At 41.6% G+C, this 19,404-nt stretch overlaps 1 protein-coding gene and 1 pseudogene across 2 annotated transcripts in view, besides 1 other annotated feature; both read right to left on the minus strand.

Moving 5' to 3' along the window:
* SCRG1 (stimulator of chondrogenesis 1) overlaps window positions 1-19,404 on the minus strand; it is a 134,444-nt gene that overhangs the window by 57,210 nt on the left and 57,830 nt on the right. The gene's annotated exons all lie outside the window — the stretch shown is intronic.
* Window positions 4,411-9,507: an enhancer, noted in NCBI's record as "VISTA enhancer hs2501". NCBI's record gives its function as "enhancer in: heart[6/6]" and the evidence as "EXISTENCE:transgenic organism evidence [ECO:0001131][PMID:17130149]".
* On the minus strand, window positions 4,693-4,794 carry RNU6-1096P (RNA, U6 small nuclear 1096, pseudogene; annotated as a pseudogene).

The raw sequence follows: 19,404 nt of genomic DNA on the forward strand, positions 1-19,404 counted from the left end.
AGGGAAAGCAAAACAAGTAATATACATGATAGACCGTAAAATCCATAGCAAAGGAGACGATGTTGACCTTGTTTATGGCTCTATCCCACACAAAGTTCAACTTTTGGCTCACAATAATTACTCAAGAAATAGTTACTGAATTGAATAAAAAGGTTTAAACATTATCGGGCAGGAAGAAATATTTCGGATCTTAAATTCCCTGACAGCTGCACTCTGGGAACTTGCCTGCCTAGATCTCTAAAATGTACTTATTTTTCAGGCCTTTGATTCATTCTCAGCTTTGAAATTTAATATTTAATCTTGTTGGGATCTCTGCTGCCTTGCCTTATTTCTGCTAGAAAGAAGATCCTCATCTATATTTTAGGTTTAGAGTGAAGACGTGCAACTTCCTAGGAGCAACCATGTCTCTGATGTGCCTCTTAGAGCTTCCTGCTAATGGCTTGAGTGAGAGTCACTGCTGGGGCAAATACATTCGGGATCATGTGACGGAACAGATGATGCAGGACCTTTCTCTTTTCTTCAAACGACTTCAGCTGCTCCCTGTCTAGTTCTCATCTCATGGAACTCACGAGATATCTGGAGTCATCACCTAACGTTCAAACTTAGTGTTCTGAGGAGTCCTGTAGAGCAGATGGGATAGGAATTTGAAGAGCATGTCTCCATGTTTTTCTATCCATTTGTCTTAGTCTGTTTTCTGATGCTATAATAGAACACCACAGACTGAGTAATTTGTAAAGAACAGAAGTTTACTTGGCTCGCAGTTCTAGAGGCTGGAAAATCCAATATCAAAGGGCCGCATCTGGTGAGGGCCTTCTTGCTGTGTCATATCATCGTGGAAGGGCAAGTGAGGACGTGGGACAAAGAGAAATGGGGTCTGAACTTTATCCTTTGATCAGGAGCCCACCCCTGAGGTAATTAACACACTGGCATTAATCTACTCATGAGGTCAGGGTCCTCACAACCTAATCACCTCTTAAGGGCCCCATCTCCCAATCCATTACACAGGCAATTAAATTTCAACATGAGTTTTAGAGGGGACATTCAAAGCATAGCCCCATTCAGTACTTATCTTTCAGTGCAATGCTTGGGGGCATAATAGTGCACATTTGAAGTATGAGGTTAGGAAAGTACCTAAAAGTGGTAGTTTTGAGGATAACAAGTAGACACAGATTCCTTTCTAGTTAACTCGAGGATTTTCTATTCTCTTTAATGCATATCCTCCTGACTGGAGTGAGGCTTCTAGTTTTACCTTCTACCATGAATGCTTTTCAGATCTTATGAGATCCATGTAAGACATTCTAATAGGTGGAAAGGAGAGAAAAATATCACAGAATAGAAAGGAAATGATGAGAGACTTGTATCAACAAAGCTGGACAACAAAGATAAAATTTGTACATTTTTATCTAGAATGAGCCCTTGTATTATGCAATGATTAAGGTTAAAGAAGACATAAGAAAGCCTGGGGGAAAACAGGGCCTGTAATACTGTAATAGTGTCCATGAACAGAAAGATGCCAAACAACCCCTTGGCATGTTGCTCACCTGCCTGTCAATAGAAAACACTAAAACACAAGGAAGCTAAGTCAAAACAGACCAGCATTCTGTATAGGTGTCTCATGAAACATTTTGGGGGAGAATTTGTATACTTTGAAAATATTATCGCTTTGCCTTTATTGATCACTTTTCTTTGGAATTTTTTTCTTTAAGAGAAGGGGTCTTGCTATGTTGTCCAGGCTGGTCTTGAACTGAAAATATTTTTGCCTTGCCTTTATTGATCACTTTCTGTTCTGAATTCTTTTCTTTTTAAGAGAAGGGGTCTTGTTATGTTTCTCGGTTGCTCTTGAACTCCTGAGCTCAAACAGTCCTCCACCTCAGCCTTCTGAATACCTGGGACTATAGGCTTGCGTCACTATACTTGGATTCTTCTGCATTTTTATGGCACTTGCAATCTTTGCCACATAGTTTATATGTTCAGGACCGTGTCATATATACTGTTAGCTTTATCTTAACATTTCAAGGGCAAAGAGCTTGTTTTGTGTGTGTGTGTGTGTGTGTGTGTGTGTGTGTGTGTGTGTGTGTTTGAGATGGAGTTTTACTCTCGTCACCCAGGCTGGAGTGCAATGGTGTGATCTCGGCTCACTGCGAACTCTGCCTTCCAGTTTCAAGAGATTCTACTGTCTCAGCCTCTGAAGTAGCTGGGATTACAGGTGCCCGCCACCACGCCTGGCTAATTTTTGTATTTTTAGTAGAGATGAGATTTCACCATGTTGGCCAGGCTGGTCTGAAACTCCTGACCTCGGGTGATTCACCCGCCTCGGCCTCCCAAAGTGCTGGGATTACAGGCATGAGCCTCTGCGCCTGGCCAAGAGCTTGCTTTTTTTAGAACCACTCTATCTTGTAGTAGTCATTGTGGTTGACTTGTCATCATCTATTCTTCCCTGAATGTAATTCTGTACACCAATGGTCAGCAAACATTTTCCATAAAGGACATAGTGCATATTTAGGCTTTGCAGGCACATGATCTCTGTTACAACCATTGTACTGTGCAGTTGCATGAGAAAGCAGCCACAGACAATATATAAATGAATGGGTATGGCTGTGTTACAATAAAACTTTATTTACAACAATAGGCTGTGGGCCGGCTTTGGCCTTTGGTTGTAGTTTTCTGATTTCTGGTTTCTGATTTCTGCTGGTCATACTATTTCCCTCAACAGTGACTTGGTCAAAATGGCACGTGCATGTGACCCAATCTTGGTCAAGGAAACATGAAGGAAATCTAGTGGGGACCTCTAGGAAAGGTTTCCTTAATTCTAAAGAGATGCAGTTAGAGCCTCTCCCTTGTTTTTCTCTGGATCTTGTTGTGGTGGGAGCAGGCATTTTGCCACCTACCTGAGGCAGACAACAGGCTGAGAGAATCTCCGAGAAGAGAGAGACCCTGACCTACATGACCTGGAGCCCACTCTGTCCTGGTCTCCAAGCTATGGAAATTAATAAATGTCCTTCTGTGTAAATCATTTAGTCTTTTTTTTCCTTCCAAGAAAGCGTAATAATTGATACTATTGTATTCCTGAAAGAAGATGTTAAAATGATACCAAAATGATATAAGTTGAGTTTGGCTTCTCTATGGGGCAAAGTAATATGCTTTGAATTACATTTCTGATAAAGAATACAGTGCCCAACTTTTAACAGAAATGATAAAAAAAGCCATGTCAAATCAGCTACATTTATATAAAGTTTTTATAGTACATAGAAATTGATGAATTAGAGCAATATAATTAGCTACTCCAAACTGAAATTAATATGTATATGTATATTATATGAAGTTCTTATCTTACATCTTCATAATTTCTACATTGTTTTACCACAGAAAATATAGAAAATACTCATGCAAGGCCGGGCGCGATGGCTCATGCCTGTAATCCCAGCATTTTGTGAGGCTGAGGCAGGTGGATCACAAGGTCAGGAGTTCAAGACCAGCCTGGCCCAAATGGTGAAACCCCCGCCTCTACTAAATATACAAAAATTAGCTGGGTGTGGTGGCAGGCGCCTGTAATCCCAGCTACTTGGGAGGCTGAGGCAGGAGAATCGCTTGAACCCGGGAGGTGGAGGTTGTGGTGAGCCGATATCGTGCCACTGCACTCCAGCCTGGGTGACAGAGTAAGACTCCGTCTCGGAAAAAAAAAAGAAAAGAAAATACTCATGCAAGTCACTGAATCCATTAGGATTTTAGGGGACATTTTCACAAGACTCTTTAAGGATATTTTTTTTTTTTTTGAGATGGAGTCTTGCTCTGTCTTCTAGGCCGGAGTGCAGTGGCGGGATCTCGGCTCACTGCAACCTCCACTTCCTGGGTTCAAGCGATTCTCCTGTCTCAGCCTCCTGAGTAGCTGGGACTACAGGTGCACGCCACCATGCCTGGTTAATTTTTGTATTTTTAGTAGAGACGAGGTTTCACCATGTTGGCCAGGCTGGTCTCGAACTCCTGACCTTGTGATCCACCCACTTCGGCCTCTCAAAGCGCTGGGATTACAGGCATGAGCCACTGCACCTGGCCTTTAAGGAGACTTTTAAGGAGATTTGGGTTCACACGATAAGTTCTTGAGACATCATTCAGTCCCCCTCCCACTTTTTAATGAAGACACTTCCAGGTATATTTATTTGTTCATTTTTTTAAAACTACAAAAATCATAAAGGATCAAATGATACAGAATTATAAGATAATGGTTTCCCTTTTGTGCCCCTGAGGATGCTAATATTCATTTATTTTCTTTATGATGACCCTGCTTCCAACATAAGCATTAAGTTTCAGAGGGTCTATAAGGTCAAAACCATTTTTGTAATAATATATATTTGCCTTTTTCATTTGGTTGATGTTTGCATTTTGATGGTGCAAAAGCAATGCTGGTTAAAACTGCTGGCACTTTAGCATGAAACAAGGCAATGACACCTAACTCTACTAATAGTCATTGTATTCTTTGATGTCATGCACTCACGGGGGGAAAAGCCAATTTTAATGAAGAATGGTCTTGAAAGAATCAATAAAATTATTACTATTATTAAATCTCAACTTTAAATATATATATGTTTTGGTTTTGGAGGAGGAGTTGGGGGTAGGATTTGAAGCCAGAAGGTTTCTCAGTTAGTCAAGTTACCTCACTCAGTTTCCATACCCATAAACATTAGAAAAGGAAAGCAAAATATAGAACTCTGCACAAATTTGCATATCATCTTTGTGCAGGGGGCCTGCTTGTCTGCGTCATTCCAATTTTAGTATAAGTGCTGCTGAAGCAAGCACAGTGTACATGTTTTTAATATTCTGTGACACAAAATGAGAAGCACATATAAAGTACTTCTGCTATGCACCAAAGCAAGACAGTTGTTAGATGGATAAGAACTTTTGTAATTATTTGTGTTATGAGCTTAACAAGCCTCATTTTTTTCATAGACTGCCATCTTTACTTGAAAGAATGACTGACGGACTATGGTTAATTTGGATTGAATTTTGGCAGATATTTTCTCTAAAATGAACCATGTGAGACAGTCACTTCAAGGAATGTTGCCAGTGATAAAATCTTGAGTTTACAAGTGAAAATATGAATTTTAGAAAATTTTTATCTGCCACTGTGAGCTTCATAGCTTCTGTCTTAGGCAGTTCAGGCTGCCATAACAAATTGCCATAGGTCAGGTGGCTTAACAACAAACATTTATTTCTCACAGTGCTGGAGGCTGGAAGTCCACGATCAGGGTGTTAGCATGGCAGGGTTTTTGATGAGAGTTCTTTTCCTGATTTATAGACAGCCATCTTCTTGCTGTGTCCTCACATGGTGAAAAGAGGGCTAGCTAGCTTTCTGGTCTCTTCCCATAATGCCACTAATCCCATTTATGAGCGTTCCACCTCATATCCTAACTATCTCCCAAAGACCCCACCTCCAAATACCATCACACTGGGATTAGGATTTGAACATGTAAATTTCAGGAAGACACAAACATTCAGTCCATCGCAGCTTCCCAATACTTAGAGACATTTTGGATGAGATCAGTGGTATTGTTATTAATGATTGTGATTGTAATATGTCAACATTTGTGCAAGATGGATCCATGGATTTTAATGAAACAGGAACGCAAAATTCACTGATTAGTTTTCAGATATCACATTGTAAATAAGGCTTAACAAACTACCACATTTCAAATTGTTGTGCATATCAAAGAAGAATAGCTTCAATTATCTGAACAAGACAATCAGGATCTGGCCGGGCATGGTGGCTCACTTTTAGTTTCCAATTTTAGTATAAGTGCTGCTGAAGTAAGCACAGTGTACATGTTTTTAATATTCTGTGACACAAAATGAGAAGCACATATAAAGTACTTCTGCTGTGTACCAAAGCATGACAGTTGTCAGGAGGATAAGAACTTTTGTAGTTATTTGTGTTAATCTCTGTAATCCTAGCACTTTGGGAGGCCGAGGCAGGCGAATCACCTGAGGTCAGGAGTTAGAGACCAGCCTGGACAATATGGTAAAACTCTGTCTCTACTAAAAATACAAAATTAGCTGGGCATGGTGGCATGCATCTGTAATCCCATCTACTTGGGAGACTGAGGCAGGAGAATCACTTGAACCAGGGAGGCAGAGGTTCCTGTGAGCCAAGATCGTGCCACTGCACTCCAGCCTGGGCAACAAGAGGGAAACTCTGTCTCAAAAACCAACCAACCAAACAAACCAAAAAAACCCATCAGGATGGGGGGTCACCTTATCCTACAGTGACCCAACTTATAATAATGCAACTTCTTTTCATTTTATTTTGCTCTGGCTTCTGTAGCCAAGTCTATAAACTCAAGGCCAACTGGAGTTGGAATGAGGCATCTGCTGGCCTGGCCATCTGCCATGCTCTTGAGCATCTTTGTGCTACAGACAAACAAACCAGAACAAAGGGATTCACTGCAGAGAGACAGTGCTCCAACCCTATGACATGGCTATCATTGCCCCACGAAAGCCTTAGGATCCTGGCTTACCCATCCGCTCTTGTTGAAGAAGGATTGCTTTTCAGTTTAAGTCATTACTTCTGTTTTGCTCTAGTACTTACAGAAAGAGAACCGACAAGCCTGAAATGACCCTTCTGTGAACAAGGTTTTACACTGGGATTTGAAATACCGGAAAAGTTGTGTCCCTAGAAAAGTAACTCTAGCCTTAACATCAGCAAAATGAGGATTTATTTTTATTTTTATTTATTTTTGCATTCAGAGAGGAATGATGATGTCATCCATGTCCTTACACACATCTTAATTTGTGGATTTTTTCTTACTTAACTCTCTTAATTGGATGAAAGTATGCAGCTGATGATTTATGGATCGCTAGTTGTGCCAGGCATCTTTTTAAATATGCACAGCTGCTCTGCAGTAGTTTAACTTGGCAGATAGTATTAAACCATTGAGTTGTGTCATTTATTTGTACATGCATACAATAGCCTCCTTGTACAGGTTCTTCCAAAATCTCTACAGGAATGGTTTAGGACCATGCATTTAAAGAGTCTCAGAAAGTATTCTTTTGGAAGATTTTCAGTTTCCAGAATAAAGAATGAGATAGCATTTTGCGATGTTGCTAAGTTCCCAAGGGAATCACAGAGACAGGCTGAAGTGGAGAGGCTAACAGAGTGAGAGGTCTCCAGTGTACATTTGGGAACTCCAATTTCAGTGGTCGTTTAGGCAATGTAGGACGTGTTACTGCTGACAACACTCTCACTTTCACTATAACACATCTCAGGGAAGCAGCTGAAAGAGGTGGGTGATCTAATACAAGTTGTTGCAGGCATAAATAACTTGAGAAGCTCTGTTGACAATAAAAGTCTGGCATTCACAGTAGTGAACAATGTTATCTTCAAATTCAAAGGACCCTGAGATTTGTCACTGTCATCCTTTGTAGTCAAGGATGATACTGTTGACACTCTGGCTATCCCTGTATGTAAGTGTGGCTGAAAATACCCGAATGTGACAGATGATAAGGGCTTTCTGCAGAGCATACATGATAAATCTTTTTTTTTTTTTTTTTTTTGGTTTGTATCTCCTGGTCTCCCAGGGCATAGCTGGCCTTGTCACAAAGTCATCGTGTCTGTCTGCAGCAGAACCTGCTGCTCTGGCACTGGCCTCTTGGCTCTTGCATTCCAAAAACGTGGCTTGAATAGCTAGAATGTCTCTCTCCTGAACTATTATGAAGATTACACCTCCTACCTGATCTGCTTACTATCCCCCATGCCAAAGCAAGCCAGGCACATGCCACAGTTCCTTCCCATGCTGTGACTTCTGTGAGAATTATGTTGAGGTGGGCAGTATTTCTCAATAGCTTCATTCACTGGTGATTTTATTCTGCCATTTGACATTTTTGAGTGTTCTCAACTGGAAACATCTTAGGTGCTGAGATAATTCCTCCTGCACGCCCCTTCTCAGTTTTGCCTGACCCAGGAATAGGAATAGGAAAAGCAGAGGAGCTGAGATATGCCTCTCCTGTAGGTGGAATAGTCTGACATTATACAGTTTGTTGAGGAAAAACAACTGTTTAAACTGATTAAAAAATTGTTTCCATATCAGGCTGGTATTAGACTGTTTTCACACTGGTATAAAGACATACCTAAAACTGGGTGATTTATAAAGGAAAGAGGTTTAATTGACTCACAGTTCTGCATAGCTGGGGAGGCCTCAGGAAACTTACAGTCATGGTGAAAAGTGAAGGGGAAGCAGGCAACTCTTCACCAGGTGGCAGGGAAGAAAGCAAGCACAGGGGAAATTGCCACTTATAAAACCATCAGATCTCATGAGAACTTGCTCACTATCATGAGTAAACCATGAGGGAAACCGCCCCCATGATCCAATCATCTCCCACCAGGTCTTTCCTTTGACATTACAATTCCAGATGAGATTTGGGTGGGGACACAGAGCCAAATCATATCAAGCCTGTACTCCAGATATTTTTTTTAAAGCTGAAAGTCCCCAAAAGCTCATCTCTGGAGCCTGATCCTGGGCGTTCCTGAGCCACTGCAAATATCTTAGAGAGCCTTTCTGTGCTAGTGGCTCAGATGACTCATATTGGGCAGTGATTAGTTGAGAGCATGGGCAGCATTGGGATCTCATGCTGATAGCAAGCACTGCTAGCAGTTGGTTACTTTGCCTCTTTGGCTTTTACCTGTGGGTTCAGGATGGGGATTATGAAGGCTATTAAAAGGGCTCCTTGACGGTCCCTTAGTCTTAAAACCTCCTGCAGGAGGAACTGCAGATTCTCTCAGACTCTCAGATAGGGAAACCCAAAAAGCCTTATTAGCGATTTAACCTTTGAGTAAATTGCCTTATCAGCTCTTCTTTGAGAAGACCCTCAACTAAGAGTAGTTCCACGCATAACAAAGCTGTGATGAGGTTAGCTGAGACATAAGAGGGATGAGAAGCGAGACCCAGTCTGGGTCACTGGGCCTCCCCAGAGGGGAAAGGCCTGACCCAGGGCATCCACGAGCAGCAAAGGGATACTTGGTGTCCAAGAAAGAACACCCAACCAGGAGAGAGAAGGGGGACCTGAAAGTAGGAAGGGGGAGGAGCTAAAGACGTACTTTGTCCACATCACAATTTTGCCTCTCTTTGGTTTGAGGTTATCCAGTATAGTCCTATCTGACATAATTTTTGAAGTCGTTTCTCCAAGGAATGTCTCTGAATCAGCTTTAAGCTCTCTTTGGTCCTCCAAGGACACTAGAAGTCAGGCAGAGATTCCTTAAGATCCAGTGTATATATCAACAGCCTCTGATCTCCTAGTTATCCTGTTTTTTTGAGAAGAGCTAAGAGGAAAAGGAATAAGGGTAAGCCAGCATCTAGTATGAGGAATGCTTTGTTATTCCCATAATATAGATAAGGAAACTGAAGTTTAGTTATTGAACCAGGAGCACCTAAGAGCTAAGAAGCAAAGCTGAAATTGAAACTGAGACCTATCTGCTGAGGTGAGCAGCTCCGCAAGTTAGCTCCATTCAGAAAGCTGCCTGAATTTTATTCCTCCTATTCTGTCACAGAGCTTTAGGGTTATTCTCAAAAGTTCTGACTATACCAAGAAGATAGCACGTTCTCCTCATGAAGTTCAAGAGACCATTAACTAAAGAATGGGCCTCAACTCTATCTCTAATGGCCTACTAAAATAGTAAAGAGTAGTATTGCTACAGTGGTACCATTTTATTTTATTTTATTTTATTTTACTTACTTATTTTATTTATTTATTTATTTATTTATTTATTTATTTATTTATTTATTTATTTTGAGACAGAGTCTCGCTTTGTCACCCAGGCTGGAGTGCAGTGGCACGATCTCAGCTCACTGTAATCTCTGCCTTCCATGTTCAAGAGACTCTTGTGCTTTTAAATACTACCTCTGTCCATTGGCTTTTTTTGAAGGAATCATGCAAAATTTGCTTGTTTGGTTTGTTGAGTCGAAGTAATACCCTTAACCTCCACTATGTGTGTTGAACAAGAGGTCAGAAGGAAATAGTCTCTGAGGTAGCTCTTGCAAGAAGATCTTAATAAGTTTGGGTTGATAGGCATCCAAGAGTTTACTGATTTTAAGGATGCCATCCCTCTAAAATTAATGTATGCCCAATAGGTTATCCCATGTAGTTTCCTTCCTTTTCCATTGAATTTCTAAGTGTTGATTGTCACCATCTTCATGACATGAGACACAATGGGGCCTCAAGACTCAGCTACTCAAGAGGCTGAGGCGGGAGAATTGATTGAACCCAGGAGGCAGCGGTTGCAGTGAACTGAGATTGCACCACTGCACTCCAGCCTGAGTGACAGAGTGAGACTTCATCTCAAAGAAGAAAAAAAAAAAGAAAATCATAAGGAAAATATATTTACTATTCATTGAATGGAGGTGGATCATCAGAGAGGTCTTCATCCTCTTTATTTTCATGTTGAGTGGGCTGAGGAAGAGCAAAAGCAAGAGGAGGATGGGAGGGGTTGGTCTTACTGTTTCAGGGGTGGCAGAGGCAGAAGAAAATCCACATACAAGTGGACCCATGCAGTTCAAACTTGGGTTGTTCAAGGGCCAACTGTATTATTTTAGCTAGCCGCAATGTTCTCAGATTTTAAAAAATCAGCATTCTTTTTACAAACGGAAAAATGCAGAATTAATATTTAGAGGCAATTAGGCATCCTTGTCACAGTTTGGCTCTCAAACCCATTTCCTGGATTTTGTTCCCTGTGCTCCTCATATTCATTCTTTCCTATTCCCTCTTGCACACATGTATTTTTTTTAAAGACCCTGCTGCTCAAAATCCGGGGCCATGCAGAGCAGAAAGGATGAGTATGGACTGAAACTGAGTCAAACTAGAGAGTTTTTTGCTATGATGATTTTGTCTTATTTTCAATATCATTTGTATCATTAACAAAACTTCTTGTGTACTTAGAATATATAGGGAAAAATATCAGAGATGTTAAGAAATACAATACAGATTTCTATCTCTAATCTCTGGCTTTCTCATTTAGAGGAGCTGAAGCTCCCATGGAAAGATAATGTCAAGAACTGTGAAAGGTCTGAGATTTTTACCCTAGAGTGTCATGGATGCTGGCAGAAGACACAGGACTCCTGGGTCACACATAAATGCCTTTATTATAGCCATAGCAATAGTCACAGTACCAGCTTTTTCTTGTGACTTCCCCAGGCCCCAATTCCCACCAGGTGACACAGATGACATTTGACACCAGCACATGACGTAAGTTGCATTATAGGAGAGAAACCTGGCACTTAAGGAACCCATGTCTTAATGGGCAGCAGGCATACCTGCCCTTTTCTCCAGAGACAGACTTCGTTTTCATATTTTAAGGCTATCCCCTGTATAAACATCCTTGTAATCATAGTTCAGAATAAACGCAGTCAGTATCCCTGCTGGCAAGAGATGCAGAGACATGGAAACCTCCGGACAACTGTCTCCAGCAGATATAAGGCAGTAGAATCATGCATCACTTAATAACAGAGATGTTGTGACAAATGCATCATTAGGTGATTGTGTCATTGTGCGAACATCATAGAATGTACTTACACAAACCTAGACGGTAGAGCCTACTACACACCTAGGCTATATGGTATAGCCTATTGCTCCTAGGCTACAAACCTGTACAACATGTCACTGTGCTGAATACTCCAGGCAACTGCAACACAATGGTAAATATTTGTCTATCTGAACATATCTATACATAGAAAAGGTACATTAAAAAATATGGTGTGATAATCTTATGAGACCACTGTCATATATGCGGTCTGTCGTTGACTAAAACATCATTATACGGTGCATAACTATGTATGCCACGTGCTACACAAGTACCAGAAACACTAAATATGACAAACATTCACCTTCTGAGTAAGAAGTGAGCAGCTGGGTGTGGTGGCTCATGCCTGTAAACCCAGCACTTTGGGAAGCTGAGGCGGGTGGATCACTGGATGTCAGGAGTTCGAGACCAGCCTGGCCAACATGATGAAACCCCATCTGTACTAAAAATACAAAAAATTAGCCAGGCATGGTGGCATGTGCTTGTAGTCCCAGCTACTCGGGAGGCTGAGGCAGGAGAATCGCTTGAACCCGGGAGGTGGAGGTTGCACTGAGCCGAGATCGTGCCACTGCACTCTGGCCTGCGTGACAGAACGAGACTCCGTCTAAAAAAAAAAAAAAAAAGAACTGACCACTGGAGGCTGTGCGATCTAGGAAGGCAGCTGGGCCAGGGAAGGGAGAAACTGGGCCAGGGAAGGTGGAGATCGCTTTTACTTATTCAAGTAGGTGTGAAGACAGGCAATGCAGTTGAAAACCTACAAAAGACAAGTTTGGTGGAAGGGAAAGTTCACGTAGGAAAGCTGAGGGAGGTTAGGATTGGTTTCTGGAAGGCCTGGAGAAACTTTCCCACTGTAATGAGGAGGAATAGTAACAGTGCTAACCAGCAACACAGAGGAGGATGGGCCAGAGTCGGGGAGGTTAGGGGCAAGGCAAGGAGACGAAGGGAAGGTATTGCAGGGGTCTGAGCATGAAGTGTGGAATACCTGAATTTTTTCCACATGGGATATATACCTGTATTTACTCAATTTTATTTTCTTCACTAAAGAGTACCAAGGCAAACTTGGTAGATAATTTTGTATGTTTGAGGATTGATTTATAGTATCATTAATAAGTCTATTACCTTATGTGGCACTTCATAACCTTTCTCATCCAAGAGGGTGTCATCCACATGTGTTTAGAGCTGGTTTCTGCCATACATTTTGGGATCAGGCACTTCCCTGAAGGTGTTAGGGGTCAGGTCTAGAGAAGCTCATGGGCATACCCTTCTGGCAGGATAAGGGAGAGATTTGGTGTGGGGCAGACTGATAGACGTGACACCTATTGCACATAGAAGACCAGTTACAGTACCAGGTTCAATGTGAGAAAGTTAGTTTAAAGGACACATCCTCAAGAAGACGTAGGGTACTAACAACCAAATGGCTTAAACAGAGGAGCCCTTGATAAAGTAAGTGCTAAATAGCTATTTCCTTAACCTTAACTGGAGATTGGAATTCTGTGTTCTATAGTGGTTTCTTATGATTCTTATGTAATAATCTTGGCTCCTTGGTTGTAAGAAATGCGGGCAAGTCTCACACCTGCCTCTCCAAAAATGAATGAAGTGACACCTTAAATGTTCCCCAGGCTTGCATCACCCTCTGGGGGCCTCCCACAATCCTGGGTCCTCAGCGATTCTACGGTGAGGCCACTAGATCACAATCGAAGGCTTTGGCAGACCACCATGTAAGCAAACCCCTAAATATTTTTAACAGACCCAAGACTGGCAGGAGTCAAACTTTATATATTAAGGGGGTATTAAAACACAGCTATTTCCAATAATTCATTATGCACATACTCATAAACACATTACACTTGTCACAGAACATATACCTGTAGTGTGCTTTCCAGCGGGGACTAAACAACACTTAATGAGAACGCTGGTGGTGTTTTTTGATGTCAAGAACCCCAAGGTTCCAGCAGTGAAGGGGCATCGCAGTTGGTAGTCTTTTTAATGGGAAGTCCCCTGGCCTTTGGCTGCCTATGGTGTGTCAGCCACAAGTTGGGAACCACAGCACTTGGTGAAGGAGCAATTTCCCCCATGGCCTTACTCAGACCCATCATTAGACACTTCCCTGAAAGTGAGCCTGGAAGTTTGCATAGCAGCCAGTGTAAGCCTTCAGGGAGAAGTGGAGTGAATATCGCAGGCTCATGTCAAGAAAAGGAATCATCTGTCACATGTGAAAAAAGCAGTCAAAGTGCCAGTGTACTAATGGAAAATGACCGCGCCCAAAGCATTGTCTTTCATTGTGGATACCAAGCTTAAAAAGGAATATATATTTTTCAAGTGTACAGAGGAGAGATGCATTCAGAATAGGTTAGTAAGGTGACCCAAGCCACGTCACCTTGGGAGCAGTCGAAGGAATAGGATGCATGTGGAAAGACCTGGGAGGCCATGCTAGTTGCCCTCAAATATTTTGAGGGTTGTCAAGAGGAAGATTTCCCCAGGAGCATGGTAGGCAGAAATCAACAATAAAGGATGGAAACCACGAAAAACAGATTTATAACAGAGAGGGGGTCAAGGGGAACCCGGTCTAATAGCACTTTTCAAGAATGGAACAGGTGGCTTAGGAGATATTGACTTCTCTGTCATTTGAGACATTCAAGCCTTGACATCACAACCACATTGAAAGAATATTGCAATAGGACTCGAGCAGCTGATCATGGAATTAAGTGACTTTAATTTTCAACCCTAGGACTCTGTGATTCTATGTACACAGAATTCGAATCTTAAGTAGAGTGTCCTTGTGAAACCCCTACAACTTTGATTGAAAATATATACTGAATTAAAATCTGTATGGTAATAAGTTTCTTTTTAGTGAACAGGAAACATGCCAAAGTATATCTTAACATTCAGTTGTAGATAATTATGTGAGCTGATTTTGTGTCAATGAATCTGAAGTTCTGATTTGGTATTAGAAAATCATACGACACCCCAAGCTTTCTCCTAGGAAGTTGTCTTTTCCATTTTTAGCATTTCATTTGGTTGTCTGTCATCACCTATAACACACACGTGCATACACATACAAATGCTGCTATAATTAACATTTTGGGTTCCTTTATCATTTTTTAAACCTCAAACTTTTTGTTATGTAATGCACACTTATTTGAAAACATCTCCTGTTGAAAATCACAGAGGTCACAGGTAGAAATGCTGTATATCCAGCACTGGTAAGGCAAATCTATGTATATTGAACTACTGAGAATATGTACAAAAATTAGGTAGAAATTAGAGAAAACAGCTCTAAGGATTGACAAAAAAAAAGTAGAAAGAGTAGGAAAAGTTGCTCTGCTCCAAAGAGATAGGATTGAAAGGTTTTTGCTTGGTGTCCTAGAAGATAACTTCCCTTCTTTCTGCTTCATCAGGGTAGAGGAGATGAGAGGAGCAGGTATCAGGGTCCCTGACTCTTAGGGATTCTCAGCCTAGAGACTGGTTTACTGTACTTGCTTGCTTTATGGTCAACAGTTGACTTTGCATCTCAGAGGAGCTGTGAAAGGGCTCAGAGAGATTCTTTACTCTTTCTCTACATCAGAGGCCAGAAAGAGATAAAAGAGAATTAGGAGCAAATGTATTTGTTTCCTTGCCACCCAAACTAGCATCAAAATATGCTGAAGGCCAGGGTGGCCTGAGCTCCTTCATGACCCATGGCGCTTAACAAAACATCTGCAGAGGAAAGTGTACCAGGGCAGAGGGGACTTTTCCACAAAGCACGGTCATGCCCTGCACAACCACTGAGGAATGAAGTATTTAGGAATCTTGTGGGAAAACTCAACAAATTCTGAAGACAGAAAGGCACACAATAAATGGTGTTCTGTTAGGGTGTTGCTAATGTTGATGACACTCAGAAGTAAGGAAAAAGAGGATATTCTCACATTTCAGAAGATTCTGGAATAGAGCCAATTCCTGGTGTTTCTTTGTTGTTCTAAAAAGAAAAGCTTTTTTTGTCTCTGTTTTCCATATAACATCAAAGAATTGAGTAACCATCTTTATCAATTAAAAACATAATTGATCCCTGCAGCCTGGCTGTTGTGCAGACAATCTCCCACTCTCTTTCCCGAGAGGTGTCTGTCCCCGCAGATGTGGGCTAGCAAGGCTGGCACTTGGTGACTGTGAGATTGCCTTGAAACTGGTGACTAGAAATTCTTTTGTTACGCTACTTTTAACTTAGGTTTTATCTATGGGACCTTGACATTTTTAATACTTTAGGCATTTCTGCATGCTTAAAGAAGGTAGCCCTAATCTTATTGCTAGCTAAGGAGTGTGTGACACTTATACCTATACTACCTGGAGAGCTTGATTCATAGGTGCTGCTCATCCTGTAGTGGTGTCCTGCTGTCCCTTTTCCCCAGTCCCTGCACCCCACCCCAGCATCCTCTCCATTAGCTCCCTGAAGGAGTCATACTGTTTTCTTGTTCCCTGAGAGCTTTCTATTGATAAAAGTTCTGTCTGTCTTCAACTACAGGAAGAACTGTGGGTCTCTCTGGATTCTACAGGCACCTGGCAGGCATGAGAGCACTCTCAGAGACAGGGCTTTGGTGGGCTATGAATGGAATGCCCTCTGAGTTCCCCTGAAAGGAGGATGGGAAACTCTAGATCCCTAACTGCCCTCAGGGTACCCAGGACTGGCTGAAATGATCCAAACTCAGAAGTTGAGTGCTCACGCATAGGGCCATAGGGGCCTGAGGTAAAACAGGGTGAGTCTAGCCATCCTGATAAGGTCTGAGGGGAATTTAAGAGCATAAAAATTAGCCCAGTCAGTGAAAGAAAAAATCAGATTAATAGTGACTAATTGTTTGGTCCTGCACTTGCTCTACAGAAATATAATGCAAGTTACATATGTAATTTTGAATGTTCTAGTAACCACATCAAAAATAATTAAAAAAAAACAGATGAAGTTAATTTTAATATTATATTTTATTTAACCCAACATGTCTAAAATATTATTACTTTCTTCCAAACAAGCAAAAGCTGAAGGAATGTGTCACCACTAGACTGGCCTTACAGGAAATGCTCAAAGGAGTTCTACATCTGGAAGTGAAAAGACAATAATCACCATCATGAAAACACACAAAAGTATTAAACTCGCTGGTAAAGCATATACACAAAGGCGAAAGAGAAAAGAATGAAAACTTATCACTACTGAAAACCATCACATCACGATGATAAATAGTAAGAGAGGAAGAAAGCAACAAAGGATACATAAAATAACCAGAAAACAATTAAAAAATTAAGAGGAGTAACTCATTACCTATCAATAATACCTTGAACATAAACAGCTTAAATTCCCCACTTAAAAGATACAGACTGGCTGAAAGGATTAAGAGAAAAAAAAACATGACCCACCTATGTACTGCCCACAAGAAACTCACTTCACTTATAAAGACATACATAGACCAAAAGTGAACGGATGGAAAAGATTCTGCACAGACAGAAACAAAAAATAAGCAGGAGTAACTGTACTTAACATCACATGAAATAGACTTTAAGTCAAAAACTGTTAAAAGAGACAAAAGTTACTATGTAATGATAAAAGGTTCAAAAGGATCCTTCAGCAAAAGGATATACAACTGTAAATAAATATGCACCCAACACAGGAACACCCAGATACATAAAGCAATTATTGTTAGATCTAAAGGGAGATATAGACTCCAATACAATAATAGTTAGGAACTTCAGCACCTCACTCTCAGAATCGCACTGATCATCTAGAAAGAAAATCAACAAGGCAACATTGTATTTCAGTTGTATTTCAAATGGACCCAACAGGCATTTACAGAACACTTCATCCAACAGCTGCAGAATGCACATTCTTTTCATCAGCACATGAAACATTCTCCAGGATAGACCATATCTTAGGCCACAAAACAAGTCTTAATGTATTTAAAATAATTAAAATCATATCAAGTATCTTTTCTGAGCACAATGGAATAAAACTAAAAATCACTAACAAGAGGAACTCTTGAAACTCTTGAATACATGAAAACTTAACAACATGCTCCTGAGTAAACAATGGGTCAACAAAGAAATTAAGAAGAAAATTTAAAAGTTTCTTGAAACAGAAGAAAATAAAAACGCAACATATCCGAATTTATGAGTTACAGCTACAGCCAATCTAAGAAGGAAGTTTATAGAAATAAACACCTACTTTATAAAAGTAAGGAGATTTCAAATAAACAACCTAATGTAGGAGCTAAGAAAAGTTTATCTCAGGGAGGTAGAAAGTAGGATGATGATTACCAGAGGCTGGGAAGGGGGTTAGGAGGTTGTAAAGAGGTTGGTTAATGGGTACGAAAGTACAGTTAGGTGGAAGAAATAAGTTCTGGTGTTTGACAGCACAACAGGGTAACTATAGTTTACAATAATTTATTGTAATAGCCAGAAGATTTGAAACGTTTCCAACACAAAAAAAAAATACATGTGTGAGGAGACTGATATGCTAATTACTCTGATTTGATCATTACACATTATATTCATGTATCAAAATATCACATATGGAGGTGGGGCAAGATGGCGGAATAGAAGGCTCCACCTGTCGTCCCGTCCCCGCTGCCCCGCCACCGCCCTGCAAGGACACCAAGTTAAGAACTATCTATATAGAAAAAAATACCTTCGTAAGAACCAAAACTCAGGTGAGCACTCATAAGTACCTGGTTTTAACTTCATATCACTGAAAGAGGCACTGAAGAGATACAAAAAACAGTCCTGAATCGCCACTGAATTGCCAAGACGCCACCCCTGCCCCACCCCAGGCAGCAGTGAGTCCTAGTGTCGAACTAAGCTCAGAGATGGTGGACTCATGGGGCATGCGACATACTGAGACACCAGCTGGGGCAGCCAAAGAAGTGCTGGCATCACCCCTCCTCTAGTCCCAGACTGCACAGCTCACAGCTTCAAAAGAGACCTTCTCCTTTCACTTGAGGAGAGGAGAGGGAAGAATGAGGAAGACTTTGTCTTACATCTTGGATACCAGCTAAGCCACAGTAGGATATGGCACTGGTCAGACTCATGAGGCCTCCATTCCAGGCCCTTGCCCCAAGACAGTGTTTCTAGACACACCCTGGTCCAGAAGGGAACCCCGTGCCCTGAAGGAAAGGACCCAGTCCTGGCAACATTTATCACCTGCTAACTGAAGAGCCCTTGGGCCCTAAATAACCAGCAGTGATAGCCAGGTACTACATCGAGGGCCTTGGTGAGCCTCTGAGACGTGCTGGCTTCAGGTATCAACACTGCCACAGTGGGTAAAGTACCAAGTGGGCTCCTAGGGTCCACGATTCCAGGACTTGATTCTTGGATGGCATTTCTGAACCTGCCCTGGGCCAGAGGGGAGCCTGCTGCCCTGAAGTGTGATTACCAGGCTAGGCAGCATTCACCACAAGCTGACTTAAGAGACCTTGGGCCTTAGGAGATCAACTGTGGTAGTCTGGCAGTACTCCTCATGGCCGGGGGTGATGGTGCCTACCAGGGGCAGGGGTGTCCTCTGCTTTTAGAAAGGGGAGAGAAGAGTGGGAAGGACTGTGTCTTATGGTTTGAGTGCCAGCTCAGCCACAATACAATAAAATACCAGGTAGACTTCTAAGGTTTTTCAGTCTAGTTCCTGACTCCTGGATGGCACTTCTGGGCCCACCCGGGGCCTGGAAAATCTTGCTGCCCTGAAGGGAAGAACACAGGCCTGGCTGGCTTTGCCACCTGCAGATTGCAGAGCCCCAGGGCCTTGAGCAAACATAGACAGTAGTCATGGAGTGGTTATAGCAGGCCTTGGGTGAGACCCAGCACTGTGGCCTCATTATGAGTTTAGTCATAATGGTTGTGGT

Source organism: Homo sapiens, chromosome 4 (genome assembly GCF_000001405.40).
Source record: "Homo sapiens chromosome 4, GRCh38.p14 Primary Assembly".
NCBI classification, from domain to species: domain Eukaryota; kingdom Metazoa; phylum Chordata; class Mammalia; order Primates; family Hominidae; genus Homo; species Homo sapiens.